Source organism: Homo sapiens, chromosome 3 (assembly GCF_000001405.40).
Source record: "Homo sapiens chromosome 3, GRCh38.p14 Primary Assembly".
NCBI classification, from domain to species: Eukaryota; Metazoa; Chordata; class Mammalia; order Primates; family Hominidae; genus Homo; species Homo sapiens.
In genome coordinates, this window is record NC_000003.12 from 139,581,217 (window position 1) to 139,602,527 (window position 21,311).

At 40.7% G+C, this 21,311-nt stretch overlaps 1 protein-coding gene, 1 long non-coding RNA gene and 2 pseudogenes across 24 annotated transcripts in view, besides 1 other annotated feature; 1 reads left to right on the forward strand and 3 right to left on the reverse strand.

Annotated features, from left to right (window-relative positions):
• Positions 1-2,103, forward strand: part of COPB2-DT (COPB2 divergent transcript) — a 193,517-nt gene extending 191,414 nt beyond the window's left edge. The window contains exon 5 of the long non-coding RNA NR_121609.1: positions 1,913-2,103. This is a non-coding gene — a long non-coding RNA (COPB2 divergent transcript). The remainder of the gene's footprint in view (positions 1-1,912) is intronic.
• The window catches only part of NMNAT3 (nicotinamide nucleotide adenylyltransferase 3), a 117,871-nt gene that overhangs the window by 21,037 nt on the left and 75,523 nt on the right, over positions 1-21,311 (reverse strand). For 5 of the 23 annotated variants that reach the window (NM_001401605.1, NM_001401598.1, NM_001401606.1 and 2 more), the window contains one exon: positions 1,711-1,992. In NM_001401605.1, coding sequence (NP_001388534.1) covers positions 1,711-1,992 — 282 coding nt within the window. 23 annotated transcript variants of the gene reach the window in all.
• Positions 1,711-2,425, reverse strand: DTWD1P1 (DTWD1 pseudogene 1; annotated as a pseudogene).
• Positions 2,990-3,229, reverse strand: RN7SKP124 (RN7SK pseudogene 124; annotated as a pseudogene).
• Positions 5,319-5,708: an enhancer, noted in NCBI's record as "active region_20615". NCBI's record gives its function as "activates an Ori minimal core promoter by ATAC-STARR-seq in GM12878 lymphoblastoid cells {active_cell/tissue: GM12878}" and the evidence as "EXISTENCE:reporter gene assay evidence [ECO:0000049][PMID:35858748]".

Below are 21,311 nucleotides of genomic sequence, written 5' to 3' on the forward strand. Positions count from 1 at the left end.
TGAGTTTAAATGCTATATGGGGGGAAGCTACAAGAGGTATTTTTGGGTCAATTAGGGAAATTTGAATATGGACAGTATATTAGATGATATGTAATTTTCATTAATTTTCTTAGGAGTGATAATGGTACTGTATTTATTATACAGGAGAACATCTTTTTTTTTTTTTTACACAAGTGTCATAGCAACTTTATTTGAAATAGTAGAAAATGGGAAACAAGTAGTGTAAATGTCCATCAACAGATAAACAGATAACACTAATTGTAGCATATCCATACAACGAAATACTACTTGGCAATAAATGTATGACCTATGGATACATGCTACAACAAAAATGAGTGTCAAGTTATTTATTTTGTGTGAGAAAGCCAAACCAAAAAAAGGAAAAGAGTACATACTATATGATTCAATTTATATAATATTCCAGAAAATGTACCTAATCTATAATAAGTAGATATAGATCATTGATTAGAGATGGGGTTGGAGAGCGTGGAAGTGTGCTGTGGGGAAAGCTGGATGAGAAAGATGATAAAAGTCAGGCAGAAACTTTGGCAGGGGTTGGATATGTTCATTTTCTAACTTGTAGTGATGGTCTCACGGCTGTACACATATGAGACAACTTTAATACTCTTGAAACATACGTAGTTTATTATATGTTAATTCTTCCTCAATAAAGTTATTTTTAAAAACTGTAAGGCAGGCTGGGTGCGGTGGCTCATGCCTGTAATCCCAGCACTTTGGGAGGCCGGGGTGGGGGGATCACCTGAGGTCAGGAGTTTGAAACCAGCTTGGCCAACATGGTGAAACCTGTCTCTATGAAAATACAAAAAAATTAGCTGGGCATAATGGTGTGTGCCTGTAATCCCAGCTGCTAGCAAGGCTGAGGCAGGAGAATCGCCTGAGCCCAGGAGGCAGAGGTTGCAGTGAGCCGAGATTACGCCACTGTGAGCCTAGGCAACAGAGCAAGACTCCCTCTCAAAAAAAAAAAAAAAAAAAAAAAAGAAAAAAAAACCACATGTAAGGCAAAAAACAAAAGAGAAGATCTAACTTCTTAGTAAATGTGTTCACCATTGGGGTGTTTATAAAAGAGATGTCATTCTTTATTAATATAAGAGAATATTCTTATTCTTAGAAAATGTACACTTAGGCCGGACATGATAGCTCATGCCTGTAATCCCAGCACTTTGGGAGGCCAAGGCAGGAGGATCACCTGAGGTCAGGAATTTGAGAGCAGCCTGGCCAACGTGGCAAATCCCTGTCTCTGCTAAAAATACAAAATTTAGGCAGGTGTGGTGGTGGGCACCTGTAATCCCAGCTACTTGGGAGGCTGAGGTGGGTGGATCACTTGAACCCAGGAGGAGGAGGTTGCAGTGAGTCAAGATTGCACCATTGCACTCCAGCCTGGGCAACAGAGTGGGACTGTCTCAAAAAAAAAAAAAAAAAAAAAAAAAGAAAAGAAAATGTACACTTAATATTTAAGGGTGAAGTGTTACAAAGCCTGAAACTTACTTTCAATTGGTCAACAAAAAATATATATAATATATAAATACAAGCTCACATATATAATAAAGAGAAATAGAGAAATAAAGTAAATGTGGCAAAATATATAGGTATTCAATGCAACTCTTCTTTCAAATTATCTGTAAGTTTGAAGTTTTTTCAAAATAAGTTGGAGGGAGGAGCAGTCCAAAAAAATATATATATATTTTTTACCTTGAAGTCGCTCATCAGTGAATATTTTGTTTGTTTGGTTCCAGGTGCTATCTATAAATATAATTTTTTTCAGTGTTGTGCCTTTGCACTTGCTGTCATTCAAATCACAGAACGCTTGTTCTTCAGTTCTTTTGCGTTTAAAAGATGACTTGTCAGGGTCATCATTTTTGCTGCTAACATTATTTTGAATCCTTTTTTGCAGATGAAAAGAAATATCTTTTATTGAGATAGACTGAGGTCCAGGAAAAACAAGTGCAACTTCATGGTCCTTTTCTTCATATTCTGGAATACAAGAAAACGTGTAAATGTTTGCAAATTCAGGTGCTAAGAGTTTTGCATGTATAGCAGTACTTTTACCATCTGTTTCATTTGGATGTTTAATGATGTCAATCTTCAATGGAAGTTTCACAAGTGGAATCTGTTCAATAGGTACATTTTCAACTGGAATGTAACATGTAGAGCAGTAGAACATTCTGGAACCACCACATTTGAGACATTTTGATCTCCCACTTTGCTGAGCTTTTTGAAGAACTTCTTGAGATGCTAAACATAAGTTTTGAAGGGGATCTTCTGAAGCTATGGAAGTAGTTTGTGACTGTTTTGTTTCCACAAAGTTTGAATTATTTTCTTCACTTCATTTGAGAAATATAGGTGGATTGAGAGACATTCTTCATTCAAACAAAAGTTTAACAGCTATTTCTAAAACACATATCATCTGAAGCTATGGAAGTAGTTTGTGACTGTTTTGTTTCCACAAAGTTTGAATTATTTTCTTCACTTCATTTGAGAAATATAGGTGGATTGAGAGACATTCTTCATTCAAACAAAAGTTTAACAGCTATTTCTAAAACACATATCATATGTGCACTGCGAGTCCTCGAACAGCTCCACGCGTCTCCAGCTCTGCCCAAGCCCGAGCCACGCGACGGGCTGTGATCGCGCACGGACCAGACGGTATGATATTCTTTTATCTGTTTAATGTCTTTTATCTGCACCATCTGCAGTGATGCCCATTTTCATTCCTAATGTTGGTTGTGACTTCTTTCTTTTTCCTTGGGCAATATTGCTAGAGGCTTGTCATTTCATTAGTTGGTTCTTTTCAAAGAACCAACTTCTGGCATATTAGTTTTCTCTACTGAAGCTTTGCTTTCTGTTTCACTAATTTCTGGTCTTATTTTAAATAATTCTATCCTTCTACTCTATTGGTGTTATTTTGCTATTCTTTTTCTAACTTCTTGTGATGTATGCCTAACTAATTAATTTGCAGTCTGCCTTCTTTCCTTGAGAACTTGTTTGGAGGTTCTAGCAGAGGAGTGCAGCTACTTGTATACCCTTGACTGAAGACCGGTCCTCCTCTATCGGGGATGGTCATCCTCTTCAGCCGAGCACGCAGCTTTGGGAGGGATGCACATGGAGCGGTGAGGGAGGAAGGGGAACCCGTCTAGGCAGCCAGATCAGCCGAATCAACTCTGGCAATCAGTGGGGTGACAGATGTCTCAGCCAGATCACCCTCACATCCTTATTTCCTACTATATACAGTTCAGGCTATAAAATTGCCCTCTAAACAATCCCACAAATTTTGATATGTAGTGTTTTCATGATCATTCAGTTCAAAGCATTTTCTAATTTCCATTATGATGTCTGTTTTGATCCATGACTTATTTAGAAGTATTTTTCTTAATTACCAAACATATTGTGATTTTTGGTTATCTTTTGTTATTGATTTCTAGCTTAGTTGCACTGCAGTCAGAGAATATACTCTATATTGATTCAATCTTGTGAAATGTGTTGATATTTGATGTCCTAGTATATGGTGAGTTTTGGTAAATGTCCTACGTGTGCTTAAAAAGAATGCATATTCTATGGTTGTCAAATGTAATGTTCTGTCCATTCAGTCAAGATTACTAATTGTTTTGCTTAAATCTATGTTCTGATTTTTTTGTCTGCCTCTTTTATTAGTTATAAACAGAGGCATGTTAAAATCTCTCACTATGATTGTGGATTTTCCGTTTTTCTTTTTAGTACTTTCAACTTTTGTTTCATACATTTTCAGGATTGTTTTATAGCTCAGAATATGACCTATCTTAGTGAATATTCCATAGGTGCTTGAAAAAAATATATATTCTGCTGTTGTTGGATGATGGAGAGTTCTGTTACACATCAATTTGATGCTGTTGTTGAGTGTCTTTATTTCTATATCCTTGCTGATTTTCTGTCCAGTAGTTCTGTCTAGCAGTAGTAATTGGCAATTGTGGGGTGTTGAAATCTCTACCTATAATTGCGAATTTGTCTATTTTGCCTTTCAGCTCTATCAGTTTCTACTCCATGTATTTTGGGATCCTGTTTTTGGTGTGCACACATTTAATGAGCTTTCAATGAACTTTTAATTTTGTTTATTTTGGTCATAATTTCTAGAAATTCTGATGAGTTTTTCATCAAATCTGGTGACTTTCTATAGTTTCTTTTTTCTTTAGATATAAATACTACTTTTAAAATCTGTATCATACAATGCCAGTTTCAAAGTCTGTACAGGTTATTTCTGTTGTCTGTTTTTTCTGATAGTTCTTAGTCATATTGTTTTCTTTTGTGCCTAGTTATTTTTCAATGTTTTCTGGTGAATGCTCCTGAGCAGTTATTTGTGAAAGATCCTCCAGATCTAAGATAGATATTCCAGAGACACTTCATATTTGCTTTTGCCAGGCACCTAAAACTCATGAATAACCTGAAATCAAATTCCTGGCTTGAGTTTTTTTGGCTAATCCAGGATGGGAGTTTCAAATCTGAGCAAGGACTCATGTGTGGCTGCTTCTTCCTAGGGATATTTTATTCTTTCACTTTTCCTCTTTTGCCTCAGCACTAAAGCACTAAGGCTTCTCAGAAGTTCTCTAGGATTAGGGGGAAAAGGTGAATTAAGATCTAGTTTACCTTACCCCGGAGGGTATAGCTCCTTGTGGGTTCAGCTGAATGTAGGGGAAGTCAACTCTGAGGCTTCTCAGCTTGGAAGGGATCCAGTCTCTGAATTCTGTTCTTCCCGACTTGCATGGCTGCTGATTCAAAGCTTAAGTGAGCCGTTCTGGCAAGTGCTCAACAGGGCACCAGTGGCTCTGGTGCTCCCATAGCCTGCTAACCTCTCTGGTTCCAGGTGTTTATCTCTCAGCTTTTTAGCTTTAATAGTGAAGTTTGCTAAAGAGAAGCAGAACAGAAAACCAATACCGCATGTTCTCACTTCTAAGTGGAAGCTAATGATGAGAACTCATGATCACAAAGAAGGGACCAATACACACTGGGGTCTACTTGAGGGTGGAGGGTGGAGAGTGAGAGAAGCAGAGAAAATAACTAATGGGCACCAAGCTTAATACCTGGGTGATGAAATAATCTGTGCAATAGACCCCTGAGACATGAGTTTATCTACATAACAAACCTTCACATGTACCCTCGAACCCAAAATAAAAGTTTAAAAAAGGTGAAGTGTGGAAAACGTGCTACCCACCACTTTTTGTTGTTTTAATGGAAAAGTTGATCCTAAGAGTGTAGGCTGCCCCCCTGGAAACTGGAAGCATTTTCCTTCCATGGTAATCCTGGCAGGCCCAGGCTCTCCTTCCTGAGGGCTGAGGTACCCCCTCCTTCAAGGGGATGGCAGAACCCAGCTGAGAGCAAGGAGGTCATATTCAGTTTTTGACTCCCACAACTGGCTCTTGAAACTCATTTCAGAGGTAATGCTTGTGAAGGTTAAAGCTTTCATTTAAAAGAGCCAGGCTATATTGAGAGAGAAAAGGTTTATTTAAGTTCCAAAAGTTACTCTTAAAATAATCAAGAACCAGAAAACCCGGGGAATCAGAGTGCACAGTTTCACTAAAGCCCACAGAGCAGTAAAAAGAAAAGAAAGTGAAAATGAAAACAAAAGGCCCTTTTTGGCCTGAGGGTGAGGTGAGGTGGAAGAATGGGCAGAAGGGCAGAGAAAAGCCTGATAGACAATGTCTGTGGTGACAGTTTAGACAGGTATTAGGCCTGCTCCCTATACTCTCATACCCTGCAGAGATAAACCTAATTTGTATTGGGGTTTGGGAGGGCATAGTTAAGATGCCCAGTTAAATCTGACAATGTTAGAGCAGTGGAGTTTATATTTTGCTTCCCATCTGGAATTCTGGAAGACCACCTTGCATTGCCCTGTGCCAATACACAACGGCACTGACAGAATAGAAATGGCATGTGGCGTGTATAGCAGAGAGAGCTTCAGAACAGCCTCCTTCAGCTTTGGCAAGGTATGGCACAGATCCACAGCAATTCTAAGTCTCCTTGAGAGGAATAGTGAAGGAGGCTGAGAATTAGCAGTCAGCAGGTGCCTGGGCTACTAGCGGGTAGATACAGGGTATAGGGAGTACAGTCCAAAGCCAGGGACTATGGCATTGACAGTACCATGGGGAGCCAAGGCACAGGTCCAGACAACAGGGATATAATGCCTGAGACAAGAGAAGCTGAGGAGGCTTCAATAGTGGAGCGAGAGTGGATAGATGCCAGTGCCTAAGATTAAGGACAGATCCCTCGGCTAGAAAGTAGTGAGGGCAGCTGCCCTGTTTTGGAAGCCAGGATGCTAAGCCATCCAGGATGCTTAATGCACTCTTGGGGAGGTAGGCAGGAAAAAATGCACTTGATTAATAACTAACCTGTAAAAGACTAAGCTGAAAATTAAAAAGTTTACCACTTCAGGAATCCCTTGAAGTGACATATTTTTTCACAATTCATGGAAATGGTGGCTTAAGATCAAGTTGAATGTTATAGAAAGCAAAGTAAGTTATCTTTCTGCGCATCTGAGCTCATGTTATACATGGGACATACATGCTCCTTCTTTTTCTCTTCCTGTTTAAAAGAAATGGGGGTTGGGAGGACTAACTCCTGCTGGGTGCTGACTTTCTTGAGCAATTTACATACATTTAACCTTCACATTAATTTCTGTTTTATAGAAGAAAATGGTGGAAGGACAGGGCTCTCTCCAGGCAGCTCTGCTGGGCATGTTGGATACCCAGGTGTCACCTGTGATGGTTTAGCTCATCTTGATAGGACAGGCCCTGCATTGAGAAATCAATGCTTTTTTATAGCACCCAGGAGAGGAGAGTCAATAAAAATAACAATTTGATCTAAAACTCCTTCTTGCCCTCCAAATGGTCATAAGTCCAAGCCTTTTCCCTTCCCCACTGCTCTAGGTCACAATCCCAGTGACCCTCTCAGGCCCTCCCCCACTAGATGCAGATACTTCTCCTGTGACCCTCTGCTGCTCAGACACATCTCCATTACAGCACCTGTATGAAAATGATTCATCTGCCTGTGCCTTTCCCATGACACTGAGCGCTCCTTAAGGACGTGAACTTGTCTTTTCGTTCTGGGTAACACGACGAGCACATTAGTTAGAATGAAGATATACCATCCCTACAGACAGAATTCCTTGTTTATCTCTACCCTCTCTGAAAACTAAGAAAATGATAATAAAGGAATAAATAAAGTATGAAATCATAAGGGCAAAGAGAGTGCAAAAGGAGACAATAGTTGGGAAAATGCAAAACATTTTGGACACTGGAGAGCTGATAAAAATTGATAATAAACCAAGCAGAGTCTTCTGCATGCAGGGAAGGCAGTAAGAGGCAAGCTGTGCAGTAGCAGAGGCCCAGAGTGGCTCAGGAATCGGAGGAGCCAAGAACCTCTCCAGGTGGGGGTGCCAGAGGGCCTGAAAACAGGAGGGCCAGTTGAGAGTTTGTATGAAGAGTCCTTGGATCCACCCCAGCCTCTAATCGCCTACGTTATCCTCCCATTGTGGCAGAAGGGCGCATATCTACTTTCTGCCTGGGTTGGACCAGAGAGAACCTTTATTCTCAAATATAGGCACAGCTGAGGGAGGGGAAGTAACATCTTTAAGACAGAAGGATTAAGTATGTTTCCCAGAATGTCTCTCTGGGGAACAGACCTACCTAGGAAAAGACACCAACACCTACACACATTTGGGGGTCTTGAACCTAGGGCCTGACCATATAACCATGAGGTCTATCAGCTTTACATTCACATCCAGAGCTTCTAGCCTGCATTTAGGGCCTGATCTGCAAACATGAGTGGACAGTCTAGGAAGAGACAAATTTTGGAAAGGTGCTCACCATGAAAGACAGAGACTAAAACAGCCACCAGGAGCAAAGGAACTTGGAGGATACAAAGGCAATGCAGAAATTGTATGCAGGATTTGCAGGAATTGTATGCAGGAATTGTAAAATAGAAGAAAAGACTAGAGGTTTAATATAGGAGGTACACAGTGAACTAATAGAAATTTCTGAAAGAGAACAGGAAAACAGAAGAAATTATCAAATAAATAAGACATTCTATTTTCCCAGACTAGAAGGACATACATTTTCAGAATCAATGGTCCTCTGAGAATCAACATTTGGCATAAAAGAAGATTCACACAATGGCAAAACATTATAAGATTTTAGATGAGTAGGTTTAAAGAGAAGGTCCTGAAAGTTTCAAAAGAGAAAACCAGAGGTTTAACATACAGAACTGGAAAGCAGGATAGCATTGGATTTCTCAACAGCAAGTCTTGAATCCAGGAGACAGTGGAGTGAAGTCTTCAAAATGTTAAAGGAAAATCATTTCCAACCTTAATTCTACATTTGGCCAAACTACCAATCAATTAGAACAGGTGTCAGCAGGCTTTTTCCATTATTGGACAGATAGTAAATAGTTTAGGCTTTGCAGGCCACATACAGTTTTTATGGGCCACATACAAGCTTTGTTGCATAATTTTAAAAGCCATTTAAAAAATGTAAGCAAACCATCCCATAGCTCACAACATGAATGAAAATAGGCTATGGATCAGATTTGGCCCATGGGCTGTAGTTTACTGCCCTCTGAAGTATGGCATGAAGTTGTGTTCATACATGCTAGGTCTCAGAAAATTTACCTCCTCTATACCCTTTCTCACAAAGATGCCAGAAGACGAACTCCACCACCCAAATAAGAGAGTAAACCCAAAAGCAGAAGGCATGGGATCCAAGAAACAGGGGTTTTGAATCAGGAAACAGGCACAGAGAATCCCCAGGGAGACAGTGAAAGGCAATCCCAGGATGACAGTATAGTGGGTACAGAGAGCTGGATGTCCAGCTAGGACCTGGAGGGCTTCAGGAGGGATATGGGCAGACACAAAACGGAACAGACAGATCATCTGATGAATTTGTCTGTACTAAGAAGAGTTTTAGAGATCTTTTGGTAAAATTGGGACTGAATTAATGATAGGCATAGGAAACTAAGGCAACAAATACATGAACAATTACTAACTCTAGGAAAAAACCCAAAGTTTATATGGGAGGCAGTGGAATCATAGTGCACTGCATGGTTTTCTTGACACTATTTACATAGACATAAATGTGAACAATAATATGAATCAAACCCAAAGTTATGAGCTAATCAATTTGGGAGCATGTGGTGGAGGCGAGGTGTGAATGGGAGGGTGGAGGTGTGAGAGAGTGAAATCTTCATTTTTCCTGAAGGAAGCCAAGATATATTATCTAAATCTGAAAAAACAAGATATAACAGTATAAGCTTGTTATTTAGAAATGGGGAGTCAAGTACCAGAGAAAACATCTGAAAGAGTCATAAGTGATTGCTCTGGGAACCAGGAATCAGAAATGAGGATGGAACAAATAACACTATAAGCCTTAGAGTAACAACTTTTATTATCTAATAAATTTATAAATATGATATATAAAATAAGCTTAAAAATTAATGCGTGCTGTAGAAATATTACAGTCTACTGAAAAGTGTGAAGGATAAAAAGTTAATAAAACGTATCTAAGATGTTAATATGGTTTATATTATAGTTCATTTTGTATTTTTTTATACTTTTCTTCAAACCACGTAAATTCACTTTTAATTCTTCTTTATTTAGATTATATCATAAGGGTTTTTCTTGGTCATTAGCACTCTTGAAAACATCACTTTTAATAGCTGCATAATGATATAGATTAAAAATATATAAAAAAAGAATTTACTCAGAGGAGGAGCCAAGATGGCCGAATAGGAACAGCTCCGGTCTACAGCTCCCAGTGAGAGCGACACAGAAGACGGGTGATTTCTGCATTTCCATCTGAGGTACCGGGTTCATCTCACTAGGGAGTGCCAGACAGTGGGCGCAGGCCAGTGTGTGTGCGCACCGTGCGCGAGCCGAAGCAGGGCGAGGCATTGCCTCACCTGGGAAGCGCAAGGGGTCAGGGAGTTCCCTTTCCGAGTCAAAGAAAGGGGTGACGGACGCACCTGGAAAATCGGGTCACTCCCACCCGAATATTGCGCTTTTCAGACCGGCTTAAGAAACGGCGCACGACGAGACTATATCCCACACCTGGCTCAGAGGGTCCTACGCCCACGGAATCGCGCTGATTGCTAGCACAGCAGTCTGAGATCAAACTGCAAGGCGGCAACGAGGCTCGGGAAGGGGCGCCCGCCATTGCCCAGGCTTGCTTAGGTAAACAAAGCAGCCGGGAAGCTCGAACTGGGTGGAGCCCACCACAGCTCAAGGAGGCCTGCCTGCCTCTGTAGGCTCCACCTCTGGGGGCAGGGTACAGACAAACAAAAAGACAGCAGTAACCTCTGCAGACTTAAATGTCCCTGTCTGACAGCTTTGAAGAGAGCAGTGGTTCTCCCACCACGCAGCTGGAGATCTGAGAACGGGCAGACTGCCTCCTTAAGTGGGTCCCTGACCCCTGACCCCCGAGCAGCCTAACTGGGAGGCACCCCCCAGCAGGGGCAGACTGACACCTCACAAGGCCGGGTACTCCAACAGACCTGCAGCTGAGGGTCCTGTCTGTTAGAAGGAAAACTAACAAACAGAAAGGACATCCACACCAAAAACCCATCTGTACTTCACCATCATCAAAGACCAAAAGTAGATAAAACCACAAAGATGGGGAAAAAACAGAGCAGAAAAACTGGAAACTCTAAAAATCAGAGCGCCTCTCCTCCTCCAAAGGAACGCAGTTCCTCACCAGCAATGGAACAAAGCTGGATGGAGAATGACTTTGACGAGCTGAGAGAAGAAGGCTTCAGACAATCAAATTACTCCAAGCTACGGGAGGAAATTCAAACCAAAGGCAAAGAAGTTGAAAACTTTGAAAAAAATTTAGAAGAATGTATAACTAGACTAACCAATACAGAGAAGTGCTTAAAGGAGCTGATGGAGCTGAAAACCAAGGCTCGAGAACTATGTGAAGAATGCAGAAGCCTCAGGAGCCGATGCGATCAAGTGGAAGAAAGGGTATCAGCGATGGAAGATGAAATGAATGAAATGAAGTGAGAAGGGAAGTTTAGAGAAAAAAGAATAAAAAGAAATGAGCAAAGTGTCCAAGAAATATGGGACTATGTGAAAAGACCAAATCTACGTCTGATTGGTGTACCTGAAAGTGACGGGGAGAATGGAACCAAGTTGGAAAACACTCTGCAGGATATTATCCAGGAGAACTTCCCCAATCTAGCAAGGCAGGCCAACATTCAAATTCAGGAAATACAGAGAACTCCACAAAGATACTCCTCGAGAAGAGCAACTCCAAGACACATAATTGTCAGATTCACCAAAGTTGAAATGAAGGAAAAAATGTTAAGGGCAGCCAGAGAGAAAGGTTGGGTTACCCTCAAAGGGAAGCCCATCAGACTAACAGCAGATCTCTCAGCAGAAACTCTACAAGCCAGAAGAGAGTGGGGGCCAATATTCAACATTCTTAAAGAAAAGAATTTTCAACCCAGAATTTCATATCCAGCCAAACTAAGCTTCATAAGTGAAGGAGAAATAAAATCCTTTACAGACAAGCAAATGCTGAGAGATTTTGTCACTACCAGGCCTGCCCTAAAAGAGCTCCTGAAGGAAGCACTAAACATGGAAAGGAACAACGGGTACCAGCCACTGCAAAATCATGCCAAAATATAAAGACCATTGAGACTAGGAGGAAACTGCATCAACTAACGAGCAAAATAACCAGCTAACATCATAATGACAGGATCAAATTCACACATAACAATATTAACTTTAAATGTAAATGGACTAAATGCTCCAATTAAAAGACACAGACTGGCAAATTGGATAAAGAGTCAAGACCCATCAATGTGCTGTATTCAGGAAACCCATCTCATGTGCAGAGACACACATAGGCTCAAAATAAAAGGATGGAGGAAGATCTACCAAGCAAATGGAAAACAAAAAAAGGCAGGGGTTGCAATCCTAGTCTCTGACAAAACAGACTTTAAACCAACAAAGATCAAAAGAGACAAAGAAGGCCATTACATCATGGTAAAGGGATCAACAAGAAGAGCTAACTATCCTAAATATGTATGCACCCAATACAGGAGCACCCAGATTCATAAAGTCCTTAGTGACCTACAAAGAGACTTAGACTCCCACACAATAATAATGGGAGACTTTAACACCCCACTGTCAACATTAGACAGATCAACGAGACAGAAAGTTAACAAGGATACCCAGGAATTGAACTCAGCTCTGCACCAAGCGGACCTAATAGACATCTACAGAAGTCTCTACCCCAAATCAACAGAATATACATTTTTTTCAGCACCACACCCCACCTATTCCAACATTGACCACATAGTTGGAAGTAAAGCACTCCTCAGCAAATGTAAAATAACAGAAATTATAACAAACTATCTCTCAGACCACAGTGCAATCAAACTAGAACTCAGGATTAAGAATCTCACTCAAAACCGCTCAACTACATGGAAACTGAACAACCTGCTCCTGAATGACTACTGGGTACATAACGAAATGAAGGCAGAAATAAAGATGTTCTTTGAAACCAATGAGAACAAAGACACAACATACCAGAATCTCTGGGACACATTCAAAGCAGTGTGTAGAGGGAAATTTATAGCACTAAATGCCCACAAGAGAAAGCAGGAAAGATCCAAAATTGACACCCTAACATCACAATTAAAAGAACTAGAAAAGCAAGAGCAAACACATTCAAAAGCTAGCAGAAGGCAAGAAATAACTAAAATCAGAGCAGAACTGAAGGAAATAGAGACACAAAAAACCCTTCAAAAAATTAACGAATCCAGGAGCTGGTTTTTTGAAAAGATCAACAAAATTGATAGATCACTAGCAAGACTAATAAAGAAAAAAAGAGAGAATAATCAAATAGACGCAATAAAAAATGATAAAGGGGATATCACCACCGATCCTACAGAAATACAAACTACCATCAGAGAATACTACAAACAACTCTATGCAAATAAACTAGAAAATCTAGAAGAAATGGATAAATTCCTCGACACATACACTCTCCCAAGACTAAACAAGGAAGAAGTTGAATCTCTGAATAGACCAATAACAGGAGCTGAAAATGTGGCAATAATCAATAGCTTACCAACCGAAAAGAGTCCAGGACCTGATGGATTCACACCTGAATTCTACCAGAGGTACAAGGAGGAACTCGTACCATTCCTTCTGAAACTATTCCAATCAATAGAAAAAGAGGGAATCCTCCCTAACTCAGTTTATGAGGCCAGCATCATCCTGATACCAAAGCCTGACAGAGACACAACAAAAAAAGAGAATTTTAGACCAGTATCCTTGATGAACATTGATGCAAAAATCCTCAATAAAATACTGGCAAACCGAATCCAGCAGCACATCAAAAAGCTTATCCACCATGATCAAGTGGGCTTCATCCCTGGGATGCAAGACTGGTTCAATATACGCAAATCAGTAAATGTAATCCAGCATATAAACAGAACCAAAGACAAAAACCACATGATTATCTCAATAGATGCAGAAAAGGCCTTTGAAAAATTCAACAACCCTTCATGCTAAAAACTCTCAATAAATTAGGTATTGATGAGACGTATCTCAAAATAATAAGAGCTATCTATGACAAACCCACAGCCGATATCATACTGAATGGGCAAAAACTGGAAGCATTTCCTTTGAAAACGGGCACAAGACAGGGATGCCCTCTCTCACCACTCCTATTCAACATAGTGTTGGAAGTTCTGGCCAGGGCAATTAGGCAGGAGAAGGAAATAAAGGGTATTCAATTAGGAAAAGAGGAAGTCAAATTGTCCCTGTTTGCAGACGACATGATTGTGTATCTAGAAAACCCCATTGTTTCAGCCCAAAATCTCCTTAAGCTGATAAACAACTTCAGCAAGTCTCAGGATACAAAATCAATGTACAAAAATAACAAGCATTCTTATACACCAGCAACAGACAAACAGAGAGCCAAATCATGAGTGAATTCCCATTCACAATTGCTTCAAAGAGAATAAAATACCTAGGAATCCAACTTACAAGGGATGTGAAGGACCTCTTCAAGGAGAACTACAAACCACTGCTCAAGGAAATGAAAGAGGATACAAACAAATGGAAGAACATTCCATGCTCATGGGTAGGAAGAATCAATATCGCGAAAATGGCCATACTGCCCAAGGTAATTTACAGATTCAATGCCATCCCCATCAAGCTACCAATGACTTTCTTCACAGAATTGGAAAAACTACTTTAAAGTTCATATGGAACCAAAAAAGAGCCCGCATTGCGAAGTCAATCCTAAGCCAAAAGAAGAAATCTGGAGGCATCATGCTACCTGACTTCAAACTATACTATAAGGCTACAGTAACCAAAACAGCATGGTACTGGTACCAAAACAGAGATATAGATCAATGGAACGGAAGAGAGCCCTCAGAAATAACGCCGCATATCTACAACTATCTGATCTTTGACAAACCTGAGAAAAACAAGCAATGGGGAAAGGATTCCCTATTTAATAAATGGTGCTGGGAAAACTGGCTAGCCATATGTAGAAAGCTGAAACTGGATCCCTTCCTTACACCTTATACAAATATCAATTCAAGATGGATTAAAGAGTTAAACGTTAGAGCTAAAACCATAAAAACCCTAGAAGAAAACCTAGGCATTACCATTCAGGACATAGGCATGGGCAAGGACTTCATGTCCAAAACACCAAAAGCAATGGCAACAAAAGCCAAAATTGACAAATGGGATCTAATTAAATTAAAAAGCTTCTGCACAGCAAAAGAAACTACCATCAGACTGAACAGGCAACCTACAAAATTTTATATTCTTAAATGGAGAGCCACTTGCCCTGAATCTGCCACCTGGTCCCTACTTTGGAACTGCAGTCCCTTTTCGTATGACCTATGGTTTTTCTCTGACGAGTCAGCCTTTTCCAGAAAGGTCTATCTGTCCCTTATGGGCTGCTGGGTGGCCCTGTCAGAGCCTGGGGAGGTTCTGTTTAATTACTTTGCTCACGGAGAAAGGATAAAGGCAACATTTAGGCCTACCATAATTTTTTTCTCTACCCCTGGAAATATACTGCCTGTGTAGTTCCAGGAGGTAGGTGCAGGTCAAAGGAAACAGCCATTGACAGGGAATTCTCCACATTTAGGTTTTATGTTTAGTATTTTACTAAGTGAAATATATGTGGTAGGAAATCAAACTGCTTTTTTTTCCCTTCCAAATACTTAAGTGACTATGTTGTTTTCTTTTACTAAATAACCTCCCTGACTCCCACTTATTTTTTGTTTTTACCTTATATTATCTTTTTATATAGAGTCATGTTCCATTATGCTGTCTGGAGTCAGTATCACACTCATTTAATCACTTTCAAAAACAATTACCTTTTGATATCTCTGAAAGCTTTCTGAGCACCTGGTTAGTCTTCTGGGAGAGCCTCTGGATACTTTTCTCAAGTTAACAAATAAAGAAAAATATCCACCCATTGGCATTTTCACCGGAAAGCCAATCAATAAATGACTGTTTTTGTGAGGAGCTGGTCATGTTTCCATTTAGTCCAGCCTCAGAGCAGGCCGAGCTGCTGCCTGCTGCCCTTGGTGCCCTTCATGTATATGGTTCAGGTTAGTCCTAGTAACAAATGTCCTTGGCTGTTCATCTTGTGAATGGGATCTTTTTTCCACTATATTTTTGTCATGTGTGTATATATATATATATATATATATATATATATATATATATATATATATATTTTTATTACATTGCATTACAACCATTATATAGGAAATCCCATACTTTGATTGGTTTATTTTGAATCTGGGCTACCTTACTGAACTTATTAGTTCTAATAGTTTTTCAAATGCTTCTCCTGGACTTTCTAAGGACACAGTAACACCACCTGCAAGTAATGAAAACTGAATCTCCTTTCTATAACTATATTTCTTATTTTTGACTGATACCATTGGAAAATAATGGTGGTGAGTAGGCATTCTTTTCTATTCCCTTGCTTCTGTGGGGATGCTTTTGAAGTGTTATGCCATTATGCATCATGCTAAGGAAGGATCCTTACAGTTCTAATTTACTGAGAGCATAAAAAAAATCCCCAAGTAGGTGCTGGATTTTATTGAATGACTCAAGTGTGTATTGAGATGATGATTTAAGTTTCATAAAAATATATTGTCTTAGTAATGTGGTATATTAATAGATATCTTTATGGTATATTGTCCTTGAATACCTAGGATAAATGCTACCTGGTCTTGTTGAATTATTCTTTTATTAGCAATTTGATAACCTACTACTTTATATGGGTATTTTGCACCTAAGATTATATTGTTAAACACTAGCTGTAACGCCACAATATCCTTATTCAATTTTCTTTGTGCTAGAAAATAGCTATGGTAGATTGAATTATTGCTCCCAATTCCTCACTCTGCCATTATAGTATTATACACCCACATCTCTGCCACAGCCTCACAAAGGCCAGAATGTATTTCCCTGCCCCTTGACTTTGGAATTGGCTATGAGACTTGCTTTGACCAATGGGATAGTAGCAGATGGGACATAAACAGAAACTTAAAGCTTGCTTGCTTGGTGGGGCTTGCAATCCTCTGCCTGTGCTATCTACATGAGAAGAATACATAAGGCAGCCACTTCCTCTGCTAACTCTCTTAAACCTCAGAATAGGAGAGGAGGAACACATCTGTCTCAGCTGACTCAAGATCTGTGATCAAGAAATAAACTGCTTATTCTTGTATGCCGTTGATAATTTGTAGTTTTTATGCAGCTGAAGCTGACCAATATAATGTCTTATCTGAAAACAAACAAAAAAGTGTGGATACTATTTTAAGACTTAAATAAATAGAATTAGATAACAGATGAACAGCTCATGGCACTTAGCTTGTGCTTGGCAATCATCACTCCCTCCATTCTCTGGCCTGGTAGGCTCACTAGAGGAGAGAATTGTGACAGATGGTCTTTTCAAAACATGGCCACAGGATCATCTCATCTCCTGGTTTACATGCTCTTCTAGAACCTGGCCACTCTTCCATTGAGAGGTGAAGTCTGTGTTCCTCCTAGGGGGCTGGGGTAGGTATTTGTGACTGCTTTACTCAATGGCAGAAGTGATACTTTGTGACTTCTGAGGTTAGGTCATAAAAATGCCATGCACTTACATCTTATGGTCTTGGGGCACTTGGTTTTAGAACCCAGCTGCCATGAATGGGTTCTAAAAAACGCCCAAACTAGCCTACTCAGAAAGACCCCACAGTGTGGCCACATGCATGTGCTGTAGTCAATGTCCAACACCCAGCACCAACTGCCAGACACATGAATGAAGAGTCCCTGGATGACTGCAGGGACTCCACTCGGTCACAGTCTTCAAGACTTCTCAGCTGAGTCCCCAGGTATCATGGAGCAGGGACAAGCCACCCAGTTGTGCTCTGGTGAAATTCCTGACCCACTGAATCTATGAGCATAACAGAATGGTCAATTTACACCAGTAAGTTTGGGGTGGTTTGTTATATACTGATAACTGGAACAGGAATGGAGATTCAAAAAGTTTATGTGATTTTTCCCATGGTTATACTACCTGAAAATGGTAGGCTTGAGATTCAAACCCAGGTTTGCCCATATTTTTTTTTCTACTGCACTGTACTGATGATGGACAGTGAATTTTGGAGAGGTAGTAGCTAAGCCAGGCAGGGCTAAGAAGGGTACCACTAAGTAGCTCCACCTCCATCTATGTGTAGCCCCAAACCAGGTCACTCTAAGGTGTGATGGAAAAACTGCCCCTTCTAGAGCTGACCATCCCCCTCAGCAAGACTGGGCCTCAATAAAATGTTATTGCTGCTTAAAATGCTAGCAGCCTCACAAACCGTGAAGCAAAGACTTAATAGCATTCCAAACTGTAAAGACTTCATTATTTCCACAGAGAATGGCTTGGCACACTTATCAGCATTTTATTAAAAATTACCATACATATTTAAAACAAAACTACATGTGTCAAAACAATTGAGAAAAGCATTAGGTAATGCTCAGACGTGGCTGCTCTGTAGCACAGAATGATTACTAATTTGCCTCTTCCCTTTTGCAGACTTCAGTTCTGGGGCTTTTGCTGGGAGAAGCTTGGTGTTTCTGTGGGCACAAGCACAGTCTGGCCCCTACCACCTCATGCACACTTTTGCCCATTTTCTTCTTCCCTTGGTTGTGTTGGCTGAAGTGCACCCTGGGAAACAAAGGCCTTGAAAGACAAAAATCTAAGAGATCAGGAGCAACTGTCACAAGTGGTGTTAAGAATCAAGTAACAAAGAAGCTTGGGGTAATGTAGCATGTTAAGAAAAAACATAAAAAAGACCAGAATCTCAACTAAATGGTTATGCATGCCTTTACAAACAGACTGTTGTGATTAAACCTCGCCTCTAAGTGAAGCTTGGAAAATATGATCTGGCTGTGGCTACTGAGACTTTGAGGCCATTTTAGCACCATTGTCTTTATTTTCCTTATCAGTCTTCAAGCTTATTTAATGTTTTGCATCTTTTTTTGTTTCTCCAGAGAGCTCTTCAACTGTGTGATCCAAATGAATTTGAGAACACCTATTTACTGCTCCGCCCTGTGTCCTGCTGGCCAGAAGTGCCCATCAATTTCAAAGGCCTCTGTGTGACTGGATTGAGGAAGCCAAGAGCAGGGAGAAGAATAGATCCAGGTCTTCCCATTACTCCAAAATGGAGCCTAGCCCTCTGGCAGCACAGTCGGCCAGCTGGGACCACGGTGGCCATTACTGGAAGTGTGATCATCTGCCCTCTCTCCTCAGTGCCCTTGGAATATGTGCTCTTCTGTCTGGCTTCAATTTCTCTTACTTCTTTGTGTGTGAAGAGTCTTCCTTTCAATCAGCAAACTCTTCCTGCACACTATAAAGCCCACTTTGGTCTTCAGAATCTTTCAGTGCCTGAGCTTGTCAGTATGAGGTTTCTCTTTCTTTATTTCCAAATGTCCTGCTTTCTTTGTGTGCAACTTCTTAAGAATTTGGCAAAGTAAACAACAAAGCAGCAATATTTCATAGGGTTTAAACTTCCCTTTGGTCCTGGATAGAAAGGATTTTTTTTTTTTTTTTGAGACGGAGTTTTGCTCTTGTAGCACTGGCTAGAGTGCAATGGCGCAATCTTGGCTCACTGCAACCTCTGCCTCCTGGGTTCAAGGGATTCTCCTGCCTCAGCCTTCCGAGTAGCTGGGATTACAGGCACCCACCACCACGCTGGCTATTTTTTTTGTATTTCTCAGGAGAGACAGCATTTCACCATGTTGGTCAGGCTGGTCTCGAACTCCTGACCTCAGGTGATCCACCCACCTTGGCTTCCCAAAGTGCTGGGATTATAGGCCTGCCACCTGGATCTATTCTTCTCCCTGCTCCTGGCTTTTTCAATCCAGTCACAAAGAGGCCTTTGAAATTGATGCCTGCCACCACACCTGGCAGAAAGGATGTTTTTGTTTCTTCTTTTTCCTGTTCCTTTCTCTGCAATCATCTCTCTGAGTCTCAGACATGTGGCACTGGTTGGCTGGCAGCACCTTCTGTGTGTCTGAGCCCTTACATAGCTTCCAGAGGAAGGGGTGCTCCGTTGGGGTCCTGCCTGCTTTTGGAGCATTAGAATCTCCTTTTTTGCAAGCCTCTGTCTCCCATCATTTAACACCCAGCTGTGTCTCTCTGCCCACTGACCAGAATCTTTTCGCAGTAGGTGGGTTTTAAAAAGCACTCACCAGAACTCCCAAATGCTAGGGTCTCATGGCCCCTCAAAAACTCATTACCTTCTCTTTGGGATCCTCAGACCTGGCAGGAACCTCACATAGGAAGAAAGGCAGCCAGGGAGCAGGCAGTGAGGACAGGTTGTAATCAGGCAGTTCTGGCTGGGCATAAAGTCTGCTCCTGCTGAAGGCAAGCTGCTCAACACTGCACTGGACATCCTCCATGTGTGGAATCTAGGCAAAGCAGCTCTGTCCTCTATTAACAAATAACTGAGCCTGGGCAATCTGTTACTTCAACTGTCCTTTCAAGCCAGGCTTTGCAGTAACAGGAATTTGAGGTCCAGCATGCAGAGACAGACCTAAGTGTGAGCCTCTGCTACTTATGAGCTGTGTGACCTGGGGCAAATTACTTAACCTCTCTATACCCTATTCCCTTCACTTGTGCAATAAGAATAAATAATACCACACACTTCGGAGGCATGGCGTAAGACTCAAATGACTAATATAGGGATAGTTCAGGGGCAGATACACGGTTGGAAAGCACACTAGAAATATCAGTAGAATCTGAATTTTCCCCTACCTGCCTCCTTGTTTTCACTACAAATAACATTTCCTTTCCTGCTTTTAAGTCAAGAGGGGAACACACTGATTCTTTAGCAGACAGTTTAGCACACACTTCAAGCCAGAGAGTGTACCAGCAATGTGGATTCAGAAATAAATATGATGGGAGCCCTGCTCTCACAGGATGGGGTTGGGGGTGGGGGATAAAGTCCCAAGGGAGTTGGACAGTCTCCAGATGGGTAGTCACTGCTGGGCAGAAACACATGAGGGAAGTGTCAGGAGCCCGAAAGAAGCTCTGAACAGGTTGGAACACGTTTTCTGGAGGATGGGACATTGAAACTGAATCACCTACAATGTTGAAGGCAGATGGTAACCTAAGAAAGGTAAAGCCTTGTTAATCAAATCAATTCTTTTCACTTTAACTGTATTGGAAAGATACTTTAAAAAATCTTCATAACAACTGAAGCTCGATGATGCCTTGATTCTGCATTAACATCCTTGCCCATTTCTTGATACATTTTCAATTTACCTTCATGGTAATTTACACTCAAGGAAGCTGTCCAAGATATGCGGGGGATTCAATAAAATAGGTCATGGAGTTAAATGCTGTGGTGAAACACAGGGCTTAATTTTATGGATAAAATTTAAACTGCTTAGCTGCCTTTTTTGCATTATTCATGTTAAGACTAATGATTACTCACTAAATGGGAAGGAATCACTGTAGAAATCAGGAAGCCATTTTCTTAATTCTTTAAGCACATCTGATGGAGCTGTGGACTCTGCCCTTGAGGTTAACAGCATTGTATTAGGGAAGAGACCTGCTTGGCCCACCAGTCAACCTCCCTTGCCTGGGCTGCTCCTGAAACTGCTACAGGAACAGGAAACTTGAAACAAGATTTTTTCCTAAAATTGACATTGGGTAGAATGAACAGGATAGAAGACAATATATTAATGTCAGTTCCTTCTGGTATTTTTCAAAGTGAAGTCTGCATTGATGTCATTGACAAAAATGCAAATT